The sequence below is a fragment of the Homo sapiens genome, chromosome 1, assembly GCF_000001405.40.
Source record: "Homo sapiens chromosome 1, GRCh38.p14 Primary Assembly".
In the NCBI taxonomy this organism is placed as follows: Eukaryota; Metazoa; Chordata; class Mammalia; order Primates; family Hominidae; genus Homo; species Homo sapiens.
The window spans coordinates 11,123,969-11,137,015 of record NC_000001.11 but is presented as its reverse complement, the minus strand read 5'-3'; the positions used below and the strand labels follow the sequence as shown (position 1 = coordinate 11,137,015).

The window sequence follows — 13,047 nt, the reverse complement described above, 5'->3', positions numbered from 1 at the left end:
GCAAAAATTAGCCGGGTGTGGTGATGCATACCTGTACTCCCAGCTACTCAGGAAGTTGAGGCGGGAGAATCGCTTGAACCTGGGAGGCAGAGGTTGCAGTGAGCCAAGATCACGCCACTGCACTCCATCCTGGGTGACAAGAGCGAAACTCTGTTTCAAAAAAAAAAAAAATCAGATTTAAGACTGGTCAATGTAGTTCTCCTAGAAAAAAAAAAAACTAAAGGGTGGTTCACACCTGTAATCCCAGCACTTTGGGAGGCCGTGGTGGGAGGATTGCTTGAGCCCAGGAATTTGAGACCAACCTGGGCAACATAGCAAGACCTCATCTCTACTAAAAATTAAAATTAAAATTAACTGGGCATGGTGGTGTGTGCCTGTAGTTTCAGCTACTGGGAGGCTGAGGTAGGAGGATCACTTGAGCAAAAGTGTTCAAGTCTGCAGGGAGCTATCATTGCACCACTGCACTCCAGCCTGGGTAACAGAGTGAGAGACCCTGTCTCTAAAGGAATAAAAATTTAAGTTAAAAAAATTAAAATTAAAGGAACATTTATCACTTCCCAAGTGTGGGATGCTATTGTAGTTCATTTTTCAAAGTTGGTGGTGAGTAATGGATCCCTGTGAAGACAGATGTCTGAGGGAGACAGGTGTCTTGTTAAGTGTTGGAACATCTGTGTGCCTGCCCTGTCCTCATGCATGGATTAGCTGCTTGATCAATTGTTTGTCATGTCATTCTGGCTCTGGGTTAACCCAGTCTCTTCATGCCAATTAATTCCTTATATTGAAAAGCATCTGAGGTTGGTCCTGGCCCCCAAGCTAGGGAGTTTCATTTTCTTCAAGGCCATCATCACTAACATGTTTTTTGTTTGTTTGTTTGTTTTTTTGAGACAGGGTTTCGCTCTTGTCACCCAAACTGGAGTGCAGTGGTGTGATCTCGGCTCACTGCAACCTCTGCCTCCAGGTTCAAGCAATTCTCCTGCCTCAGCCTCCTGAGTAGCTGGGATTACAGGCAGCCACCACCACGCCCAGCTAATTTTTGTATTTTTAGTAGAGACGGGGTTTCACCATATTGGCCAGGCTGGTCTCGAACTCCTGACCTCAGGTGATCCACCCACCTTGGCCTCCCAAAGTGCTGAGATTACAGGCGTGAGCCACCACACCCAGCCTTTTTTCTTTTCTTTTTTTTTTGAGACAGTCTCACTCTGTTGCCCAGGTTGGAATGCAGTGGCACGATCTTGGCCCACTACAACCTCCGCCTCCCGGGTTCAAACAATTCTCCTGCCTCAGCCTCCCAAATAGCTGGGATTACAGGCGCGCCCCACCACGCCCGGCTAATTTTTGTATTTTTGGTAGAGACAGGTTTCACCATGTTGGCCAGGCTGGTCTGGAACTCCTGACCTCAGGTGATCCACCCGCCTCGGCCTCCTAAAGTGCTGGGATTACAGGTGTGAGCCACTGCACCTGGCTAACATGTTTTTATTTAAAACAAACAAAAATACCTCTTATATGATTTACCATAAGGAGAACTGTTATTTATCTGAAGTCTTGATTTTTTCCTTCTTCTGCAGCACAGAACACATTGCCTCTTTTTCACATTCTCTCATATAATGTTTCCTTTCCCTGTGTTAATGCATTTAGATTTTGCCATTTTTCCATTTGAGCTTTTGATGTTTGTACATTCTATCTCCATCCTTGAAGCCCTTTATTATTATTTTTTTTTCTATTTGTGGGTTTTCCCCCCTCTAGAAAAACCAGAAAAGATTTGTTTTTCCCTTTAAAAGTGATATGGACCGCACTTATCAAGATGCTGGTTCAACTGGATGTGGCGGGCTTGTACAGTAGTCCCAGATCTGTGATTCTGTCTCTGCCCTTCCTCAGTTCAGCTGTCTGTTCCTGACTCACATGCCCTCTGCTCACTTTGTATACAAGCCGGTAGTATAAATAGATCTAGCTGCTTTAGGATGCTCTGGAGATTTTGCCCCTAAGTCACCCTGTTCAACCAGATGTCTGCTGAGCTAATATCTTCTCCCTATTCCCTGTGAATGCATGCGGGTTTTCACTCCAAATCTGTGTTCTTATTTGGGTGCTATATGATTTTTAAATCCATAGTTTTTGCTCCGCTGGACTGTCCAAGGTACCCTGGTGTTGTAAACAAATACCAAAGTTTTATTAGCCTGAAACAATTCCCAAAAGCCTAATATCCCCCAGGGTAACATATTGATAGTGAAGTAAGCAGTTGTTTCAAATTACTTTGTAGGAATTTTTATTTGGGGTAGCCAGGCATGAAACTTTGCCAAGGCTTATAAAACTGGTAATTATAGTTGGCAAAGGAGAGCCAAGACTTGAGTTGAATAAGTCATGAATCTTTTTGAAAAGCCCAGTCTCTCCCAGTATCACGCCCTGGTCCTCTGTCCTATGGGGTCATCATTCTGTGCTCTAGGGTATTCTGTTTGGAGAGGGGTTGACTCATGCCTATCAGATGAACGGTAGCTCCCTTCCTCTGAAGCTGGGCCACAAGCCAAGTGGCTCTCTGTGCCTTTGTCCTGTTACAGATCGATGCCTTCCAGCACATGCAGCATTTTGTCCAGACCATGCAGCAACAGGCCCAGCATGCCATCGCTACTGAGGACCAGCAGCATAAGCAGGAACTGCACAAGCTCATGGCCCGGTGAGGTCCCCACTGACCTGGGGCAAGTCATATTCCAGCCCTGTCATCCCAGCAGCTTCTGCAGCAAGGAGGAGTTCAAGGCTTCTTGGGTGGCTGATTGCTGACATCTCTCTTTCCTTTTCCAGTAGGGATCCCAGGCAACCACCAAAGCATACTGCTCTCAAAGTCTCTGCCACTTGCTTTCCTAGGTTCAGCAGCCCAAGAGCACCCATGTGCTGTTCTCCTGGCGTCTGGTTTTAGAGTCCTTGTTTTCAAATGTCAGATATGCTGCCCCTCCCTTTTTTTTTTTTAAGATGGTCTTGCTGTGTCACCCAGGCTAGAGTATAGCCTTGATCTCCTGGGCTTAAGCAATCCTCCCACCTCAGTTTCCCAAGTAGCTATAGGCACGTGCCACCACACTGGCTAGTTTTTTGTAGAAATGAGGTCTCTACAAAAGAACAGGCATAGAGCCTGCATTTCCTCCTACAAGTTTAATGTTGCCCAGGCTGGTCTCAAACTCCTGTGCTCCAGCCAGCCTCCCTCCACAGCCTTCCAAAATGCTGGGATTATAGGTGTGGGCCACTGTGCCACTCTGTGCTGCAGATTTGATATTTGACTTCAGAGAAGTGACTTAACCTCTCTATGCCTCAGTTACCAATATAAAAGGGATAGTAACAGTTTCTATTTCCTAGGGTGGTATAAAGTAGTGTGAGGATTAATGCAAAGAGTACAATGCCAAGCATTTCAAGCAGCACTTGGAATACAGTAGCAGTCAGTAAATGTGGGCTAATCTCATTACAAAGAATGGAGGCAAAGGGAAAAGTAAGGGAGAAGCCATATAGCAATCAATAAAGAAGTAACTCTCAACTGTCACCCACAAAAAATTGGGTTTGGGGTAGGTAAGTCCATACAGACCTATCTGTACCAGGTACATGGTTTATGCTGTCATTGAGAGACAAAGGTCAAGATGGAAAGATGGTATCTTAAAAATGTATTCCAAAAGCCCATCTCCTTTCTTGCGTGTGGCTGAAAATTTTGCTAGCTCCTTCACATTGCCTCTTGAGAATAAGAGGAAATACCAGAAGGGCTTCAGTGTCCCCTAACAATTTGTGGTCCTCTTAGGAGGGCTGTTTTGAGGAGGGAATGTCATGGGGGCTTGTTTCTCTGCTTCCAGATGCTTCCTGAAACTTGGAGAGTGGCAGCTGAATCTACAGGGCATCAATGAGAGCACAATCCCCAAAGTGCTGCAGTACTACAGCGCCGCCACAGAGCACGACCGCAGCTGGTACAAGGTGATCAGAAGCAGGCCACCTGTGAGACCCAGCACCCTGGCTGGCTCGTGTCCTCCTGTGTGCTCGTGGTTACAGCTGAGCTTCTGCGGAGCTAGGCTGATGCTGTGAACTTACTCCTTGAGTCCCTGGAGCCTATCTATAAGAGGCCCAGGGAGCCTGCATTTCCCCCTACAAGTTTAATTAATACAGAAAGATTATTGGAGAAATACTTGTTACACCATTATTATGTGTATGTGGTGTTGGGGATTGCTGCTGTCTTACAGACTCTGAGCTGCTTGTTTTCCTGGGAGCATCTGGACACATGGTTAATCTCTGGAGTGACATCTTCCCTTAGGTCATCTGTTCTTGTTCAGCGTTTTTCTGATTTGCATCCTTGCCTGCTCCTCAGCTAAGAACTTAACTTTCTTTGTTTTTATTGGAAAGATCCAAGTAACATCCTGTTATGTTACAGGAAACTTTTGAAAGAGATAAACAGAATTAGAAAATATATAAAAGATGTGATTGATGGAGGGGTGATTTTTGGAAGTGTATATCTTTGGTGAGAATATACTTTCTTATTTCTTTTTGAGAGGCTTTCTGGTAACTACTTGGTGTGGCAGATGTCATTGACATCTTTCCAGTATTTCCTTGGCTTGCCAATACTTTGTGAATTAATCTCTCTGAAATCTAAACTTGTATCTGAGGACTGCAGAAGCACTTATAATACAGATCTTACCTTTGTTTAGGCATGCTTCATTCTGGTTTGAAAAATGTCCATTTTGTCATAAGAGTAATACTCTCTCTAGGACAGCTTGCATGTCCAAAGCTGGAAAATACATCCGGTAAACACTATTAACTGGAAGCTTATTAATCAGAGTTGTATTCTAACCAGAGTTACTTTCATTCATTAAGCTTTTAGGAAGTAAGCAAATCACAAGAAAAAAGTTGGTTTCAGGAACTTTAGTTTTAGTTTTTAAAAGCTTTTCCTAATGTGGGTCCCTTTTGTTTTATGATGTATTCTACCATCAACGTCATGGCCCTGTATGCATGCCAGGACTGTTTGTCTTGTTCACCTTGACCCCAGGTCATTGCCAGGCACATAGCAGATACACAAGAGATATTCAGTGAATAAATGAAGGTATGGGAAAACTGAAACCTGGGTCATTGTAGAATTCTTACTCATCAAGTAAAGGTTAGTTGTGATCAATCTATTCTCCTTAGTTGAGAAAACGGATACACCTGTGTTCAAGGTTTTTGGCAAGGCATACAAACGAATTTCCCAATTATTCAGAAAGTTCAGCTATTAATGGGTCACGTAGTGTCCTACTATCACTGCAAAGTTACCATGCCTGGAAGCAAACTCTGCCTCACACTCGCTAAACCAAGTGGTGGTACGCTGTAGAGTCATTGCCGCTCAGAACCCCAGAGAGAGTAGTATTCCTTTATCCAAATAAGCACCAGCGGTTCTTCCTTCAAGCATTGAGCACTGGTTCTCTGTCAGGCCGTGGGCTAGGTGTTGGGACCAGGCAGATGGGTGAGATTCTTTCTCTGTCAGGCTCCTATGCTCTTCATGTCTTCCTTTGTCCACTATCTGGTGACCTGTCAAAACTTTGCTCCCTTGAAATATTGTGATGACTGCTGCTTGCCCCCACTTCTGCTTGCCATTTCTGCTCTCCCCTAAATGTACACTTTATACCCAGTGCAGCTCTGCTTTCTGGGTGAAAGTGCCAGCCCTGTGCCTGCTCCAGGCGTGCTTTGCTGGCCTCGCTCTCACTCCTCGCCTGCATGTATCCCCTGCACGGTCACATTCATGGGCTTGTTTCCCGTGAACCAATCTGCACATCTCTGGCCTTATTCTTCCCCCTTGCCAAGTAGTCCCCACCGCTGCCTTCTTGTTTCCCTCCTTGCCCTTCTGCAGCTCTCTTCCAGACCTACCCCAAATCCCTCTTCTTGACAAAGCTTTCCAAATGCCTGTCCTTGCTACTCCCATTGTGCCTTGCAGAGTACCTAGGTCTTCAGGTTTGTGCGTGAGCTCCCCTAGGAGGCCGGGAGATCCCTTGAGGCAAGAGCTCTCTCCTGCTCCTCTTGCTGTGCCCTTCTCGCAGTGCACTCATAGTACGTTATATAGTTAGTGCTCCACAAAGTGAGTGGATCATGTTGAATTTAGTAAAACAGCCATTTCTGAGTGTCTCCTTGAAGTGTTTGCTTTATGGACACACAGAACAGGCAGGAGCAGCTGTTCCTCAGCATCGACCTTGCGCTCCTCTGAGCCCTGCTGTTGGTCACAGCTCCAGTGTCTGTCCTTGCCTTTCTCCCCAACCAGGCCTGGCATGCGTGGGCAGTGATGAACTTCGAAGCTGTGCTACACTACAAACATCAGAACCAAGCCCGCGATGAGAAGAAGAAACTGCGTCATGCCAGCGGGGCCAACATCACCAACGCCACCACTGCCGCCACCACGGCCGCCACTGCCACCACCACTGCCAGCACCGAGGGCAGCAACAGTGAGAGCGAGGCCGAGAGCACCGAGAACAGCCCCACCCCATCGCCGCTGCAGAAGAAGGTCACTGAGGTACCCTTCCCTTCTTCCTTATTAACAACCAACCAAGGTGCCAGGCTCTCTGAGAAATGGAATCGTTGTTAAGCTTAAAAGGAACCTGAGGCTGTATCTGAAGTGCCAGATGGAGCTGGAAAATACTGCCTATCTACCATCCAGCACTGCCTGAGATAGGGCTTTGTGTGTGAATATTTGTGTTTGGGGAGCTGACGCAGCCTCTATGCTGAAGAGCAAGCTCCTTGTCAAGCTTCCCTGTGGACGAGCTCATTCTCTACGTGCTGCACCTGTGTGTGGGTGGCTGTACACAGCTGCGGGTCCACTCTGAGGATGGGGCTTGGGAGGTCCATCCTCTGCCTTTTTCTCTCCACTTCCACTTCTTCCCCTTCCCCTTGGGCTGTCAGTTCAGAATGCGCCAGGGCCGCTGGCAGGCCCAGAGATCCGGGTGTTCAGAGCCTCAGCTCCACCTCCTCCCTCCATCCTGTTCAGGAAGCCACTGTCAGCCCAAGATAATAACAGTTATGATACAGTTGCCATTTATTGAGTCTTTGCTATGTGCCAGGTAATGATTAAAGATTTTTCATGCATTAACCGATTTAATTGTTATAACCACCCTTTGAAGTAGGTACAGTTAGTATGCTCTTATGCCCATTTTACAGATGAGAAAGCAGAGGCAAGAGTGTCGCTAACACGTGTGTGTTCCAACAGGATCTGTCCAAAACCCTCCTGATGTACACGGTGCCTGCCGTCCAGGGCTTCTTCCGTTCCATCTCCTTGTCACGAGGCAACAACCTCCAGGATACACTCAGGTATCAGAGAAGGGAAGGATGCAACTCTGGTAGGCCATGTTAATGGCAAGACCTAGAAGTCACACGTAAAAGTCCTCTTTCCCTTCCTGACCCTGATCAGGACACCCAAGATCGATGTATGTGCCTTTTTTCTGCACTGCATTTAAGGAGTAACAGCTGACTGGGCCCCACCTGTGTGGGTGAAACCTACAGAGAGTGAGGAGGAGAAGTGGAGTGAGAACTCTCCATGTGTGGTTTATTATGGAGGGATTATTAACCCATCTGTTAATCACAATATTTCTTTTTTTCTGACCACCCTGTTGCCTATTGAAGTCACAGTATTTCTAAAATCCCTCAGCAACTTGGAGAGGTCTAAACAAATGACTCAAATCAGTTAACCCAGAGGGTAAAGGTGACAAGGTCCACATCCTCCTTCATTTGAGGATCTCCAGCCAGCTAAGAGCCAGGTGTCCCTGTTGCCTCTGCCGTACAGCGACTCTTACATGTGCAGACTTGTGGCTTTCTAAAGGTTATCCTGGCTCGTCTGTTTGATGTTTGCATACATGCCATGGTGACCCCTCGGTGACCTGGGATGAAATGCTCATTTGCTCAGGGTGACTCTTACGGTGTTCAGTCAAGAGCACTGCCACCCATCACAGACACCTGCTCCCATGGGAGGCCAAACACATTTGAGAGTTACTGGTTGGAGTCCCTGCCAGCTCTCTTCTCAGGAGCCTTAGAGATGAAAAACAGGCAGGCAAAAACTGGGAAACTAAATTTTCTGTGACTTTCTCATTTCTTTTTCAGAGTTCTCACCTTATGGTTTGATTATGGTCACTGGCCAGATGTCAATGAGGCCTTAGTGGAGGGGGTGAAAGCCATCCAGATTGATACCTGGCTACAGGTGAGGATACTTGGTTACAGGTGAAGGTGGCTCCAAGTCTCTCTTCTGTGTGTCTCCTCTTACAAGCATGCTGTGTTCAGTGTCACAAGGCAGTGTGTGTTAATACAGTGCTAAGGAAGTAGGGCTCGGTCCCAGTGTCAAGTGTCCATATTTTCTTTATTTTCTTTTAGAAACTAAAGGGAAGGGAATGAACCATTTCAGAGCATCAACCGAAACAAGTTAAAAGAATTGATCTTTGCCTAGAAGAATAACTAGTTGTTTCAAGTCTCATATGCTACATACTGTGTCTTTTTGAATACCAGGTTATACCTCAGCTCATTGCAAGAATTGATACGCCCAGACCCTTGGTGGGACGTCTCATTCACCAGCTTCTCACAGACATTGGTCGGTACCACCCCCAGGTATGTGGAGACTCTGGGCAGTTTCTCATCTAACCACTGGTTTGGTGGTCAGCCTTTCCAAAAGCTGCCCTGGCGACACAAGCGCAGGAACTGGGAGCCATGTGTTCCATCCTGGCCCAGGAGGGTCTGTCCAGCCAGCCGTCCCAGAGGGCCCGGGAGCCTTGCTAAAAAGAAAGCGTTCCCTCGAAGACTGAGCCCCTTCCTGGTAGTCTCAAGCAGATGTTAATGTCACACTCACCACTTGTTTTGTTATTCTCCTTAAAATTCATACCAGCTCTTCCCCAACCCACATTTCCTTTATAGATGTTTCTTCTGTTTTTCCCTCAGGCCCTCATCTACCCACTGACAGTGGCTTCTAAGTCTACCACGACAGCCCGGCACAATGCAGCCAACAAGATTCTGAAGAACATGTGTGAGCACAGCAACACCCTGGTCCAGCAGGCCATGATGGTGGGTCGGAGCCACTGTGGGGCTTCATAGACCCTGGTCCCTTAGCTGGTGGGCGCAAGTGGGATTGTTTTTCTTCCTCGCATTGGTGCTGTGCACTTCCTCTGACTGCTGGAAATAGTACCTCCTGTGTCTCCAAAACAGACCTTTCTGAGGTTAGCTGATTCTTGATGCTTCTCTCCTTCTTCTCTTGGCTTCAGGTGAGCGAGGAGCTGATCCGAGTGGCCATCCTCTGGCATGAGATGTGGCATGAAGGCCTGGAAGAGGCATCTCGTTTGTACTTTGGGGAAAGGAACGTGAAAGGCATGTTTGAGGTGCTGGAGCCCTTGCATGCTATGATGGAACGGGGCCCCCAGACTCTGAAGGAAACATCCTTTAATCAGGTATGGGGTAAAAAACACGAAAGGACATAACCCTGTAGAAATATTCTGCCACTAAAAAAAAATGAAATGAGAAAAGTTTTTATAGAATGAAAGGACGTGACCCAAGGCCTTTGTCAGATTTCTTTTCCTCTGGCCTTTCCACTGACTTTAATAAAACGAGCTCTGATGGAGGTCACAGAGCATAAAACATCAGAAATTAGTTACAGGGACCCTTCTGAATTTTAACTGGAAAAGCCCAAGATTTCTCAAGAGGTCATCTCGTCTCTCCTCTCACCCTTCCTTCCCTATAAGCCATGCTGCTGGTTTGGAAGCTCCAGGGTTGGAGGCCTGCACCTATGCTCTTGCTTTCTCCAGCCCCCTGCCAGTGTTTTCAGGCCACAGCGGGCTCCTGAGGAATATCTGCAGTCAGCCTGGGGATTTTGCCTCCTGGGTTGGTTGAGACTTTGATAACTTGAAAACGTGCCTGCTTTCTCTCTCAGGCCTATGGTCGAGATTTAATGGAGGCCCAAGAGTGGTGCAGGAAGTACATGAAATCAGGGAATGTCAAGGACCTCACCCAAGCCTGGGACCTCTATTATCATGTGTTCCGACGAATCTCAAAGCAGCTGCCTCAGGTAGGATCTTCAGGCTCCTGGCAGGGTTAACTGTCATTATAGTCCTTTCTGTTTTACTGTCTATGAATGTTCTAACACTCATTCCAAAGCATCTGGTTTTACTTCTGCTTTGGGACAAGTAATTGTTATTAGCAATCCACTGAAAAATACTTAAATTGCGTTTAAATTCTTCCCTGGAGGCAGAACACTAAATCCTTTGGTAATTATTTACAGCTCACATCCTTAGAGCTGCAATATGTTTCCCCAAAACTTCTGATGTGCCGGGACCTTGAATTGGCTGTGCCAGGAACATATGACCCCAACCAGCCAATCATTCGCATTCAGTCCATAGCACCGTCTTTGCAAGTCATCACATCCAAGCAGAGGCCCCGGAAATTGACACTTATGGGTAAGGACCATTGTGCACTTCTGTCACCCACTTCTCCCTCCTACACTGGCTGAGACCCCTTCCCTCTTCTGAAATTACTGCTTGCCATTCCCACTACTCACCTATCATAGCTACATCTCTCCCATGCTCATTGAGAGGAAAATAGAGGGCAAGCAAATTTCTCATTATGTCCTCAGGACTTAGTTCATTCATGTAGTTGGGCTTATGTGAAGCATGATCACACATAAAGGGAATGACAAAGGCATGCAAGGCAGAGAAGTAACAGTGGAAGGCAGGTGTTGGAGACTGATGAGGCCAGGGAGGAGGCAGCTGGGTGCAAGCAGGGAAGGTGCTAGCTCCTCTGAAACGGGGGCTTCTGGCTCTTGAAATTTTTTTCTTTTTTTTTTTACCATCATAGTCTCTGTGGTAAATGATTGTGTAAAATGAACAAGTGGATTCTCACAGTGAGATTTGTTAAGCAAGTGGGCTCTGGAATTTCCCTTGGGGTAGAGTGTTACTTATGGGGGATGTTTTAGTGAGGCCTGAGTGCTGTGGTGGCACTTTGAGGCCTCTCGCTTTTTTTTTTTTTTTTTTTTTTTTTGAGCCAGAGTTTTGCTCTTGTTGCCCAGGCTGGAGTATAATGGCGCAATCTTGGCTCACTGCAACCTCCACCTCCCAGGTTCAAGCAATTCTCCTGTCTCAGCCTCCCGCGTAGCTGGGATTACAGGCACGCACCACCACACCTAGCTAATTTTTGTATTTTTAATAGAGTTGGGGTTTCACCATGTTGGCCAGGCTGGTCTCGAACTCTGACCTCAAGTGATCAGCCTGTCTCAGCCTTCCAAAGTGCTGGGATTACAGGTGTGAACCACTGCGCCCAGCCACCTCTTGCTCTTTTTTTTTTTTTTTTCCCCAAGACAGAGTCTCACTCTGTTGCCCAGGCTGGAGTGAGGTGGTGTGCTCTCGGCTCACTGCAACCCCACCTCCTGAGTTCAAGCGATTCTCGTGCCTCAGCCTCCCTAATAGCTGAGATTACAGGCGCATGCCACACAATCAGCTAATTTTTATATTTTTAGTAGAGATGGGATTTCACCACGTTGGCCAGGCTGGTCTCAAACTCCCGACCTGAGGTGATCCGCCCAGCTTGGCCTCCCACAATGTTAGGATTACAGGTGTGAGCCACCGCGCCCAGCCTCACCTCTCGCTCTTAATAATGCTCAATGTTTCTTAAATGCAGTGATTATTCACCAACACCAATTAATCATGGTCCACAGGTGATTATCTCTGCATGAGCTGTTGTCTTCTGATACAAAATGTGGGTCAGGCTGGTTCTTGGGGTGTTTAATTAAAGAGAGTTTAAGAAAGGAATTGTTTCCAGAGGTGTAAGCAAAGCTAAGAGAATCAACAAGGAGCGCTCATGAACAAGCACAAGTGAGAAATTGTTACTCAGCCCTCACCCACCCCCACACTCCAGAACTGAAAGAGCAAGGAGCCCAGCTAGAACCGTCACCATGCCAGAGAGGCCATCTAGCAGAGTCTACAGTCCAGAGAGAGTGGTAGCTTCTAGAACTGGGGCCAGGCTGGTGATGGGGGACACATACCCTGACCTCTCCCTCTACCCATCCTCTGACCTCCTGCCAGTACCCTTCCACCATTGGCCACGCCCAAGTGGGATCCCAGGTGATGCGGCTTGTAGGAGTCAGGCTTCTCAGAACAGAGGAGGACAGAGTGGGTCGGAAAACAGGAATGATCATTTCCATGCCTAACCGTTCCTGGTCCTCAAAAACAGATTTTGTTTTGTTTTAATTTGAACAACACTGGTCATTGAGAACCATAAAAGGCAAAGCCACTCTTTTCATTAATTCTAAAGATTGTTTTTTCTTTTTGTGAGGAACGTGTGATTAGGTAAGGCATATGTAGTCTGTGGGATCTCTTGAATGCAGTGGTGCTCTCAGCTGAAGAGCTGAGGACCTCTGATGTACACTCACCGCTCCCACTGTTCCTTACAGGCAGCAACGGACATGAGTTTGTTTTCCTTCTAAAAGGCCATGAAGATCTGCGCCAGGATGAGCGTGTGATGCAGCTCTTCGGCCTGGTTAACACCCTTCTGGCCAATGACCCAACATCTCTTCGGAAAAACCTCAGGTATTCAGAAACCCTGAAATGGCAACAATTTGAGAAGTCTTCTGGTTTTTTCCTACATTTGTCTCGTGTAGTCATGTATTATATCTTAACAAAAAACTATAAAATTAGGGAGCCAGGCATGGTAACTCATGCCTGTAGTCCCAGAAACTCCAGAGGTTGAGGCAGGGGGATGGCTTGAGCCCAGGAGTTCAAGGCTGCAGTGAGCTGTGATTGTGCCACTGCCCTCCAGCCTGGGTAATAGAGCAAGACTGTCTCTTTAGAAGAAAAAGGCTGGGCATGGTGGCTCGCACCTATAATCCTAATATTTTGTAATGCCAAGGTAGGAGGATCACTTGAGCCCAGGAATTCAAGACCAGCCTAAACAACATAGAGAGACCCCATCACTATTTATTTAAAAAAATTAAAAAGGTGACCGGGCACGGTGGCCCATGCCTATAATCCCAGCACTTTGGGAGGCCCAGGCAGGTGGATCACTTGAGGTCAGGAGTTCGAGACCAGCCTGGCCAACATGGTGAAACCCTGTGTCTAC

General features: G+C 46.9%; 1 protein-coding gene across 7 annotated transcripts in view; it reads left to right on the top strand.

The window, feature by feature from the left end:
• Positions 1 to 13,047, top strand: part of MTOR (mechanistic target of rapamycin kinase) — a 156,017-nt gene that overhangs the window by 125,536 nt on the left and 17,434 nt on the right. For all 7 annotated transcript variants that reach the window (XR_007058581.1, NM_001386501.1, NM_004958.4 and 4 more), the window contains 11 exons: positions 2,550 to 2,665; positions 3,819 to 3,936; positions 6,239 to 6,487; positions 7,178 to 7,278; positions 8,065 to 8,161; positions 8,464 to 8,562; positions 8,890 to 9,012; positions 9,210 to 9,392; positions 9,872 to 10,006; positions 10,220 to 10,394; positions 12,383 to 12,518. Coding sequence is in view for 6 of the 7 variants with exons in the window: in NM_001386501.1 (NP_001373430.1) it covers positions 2,550 to 2,665; positions 3,819 to 3,936; positions 6,239 to 6,487; positions 7,178 to 7,278; positions 8,065 to 8,161; positions 8,464 to 8,562; positions 8,890 to 9,012; positions 9,210 to 9,392; positions 9,872 to 10,006; positions 10,220 to 10,394; positions 12,383 to 12,518 (1,532 nt within the window). In the remaining variant the exon portion in view is untranslated. The remainder of the gene's footprint in view (positions 1 to 2,549; positions 2,666 to 3,818; positions 3,937 to 6,238; positions 6,488 to 7,177; positions 7,279 to 8,064; positions 8,162 to 8,463; positions 8,563 to 8,889; positions 9,013 to 9,209; positions 9,393 to 9,871; positions 10,007 to 10,219; positions 10,395 to 12,382; positions 12,519 to 13,047) is intronic.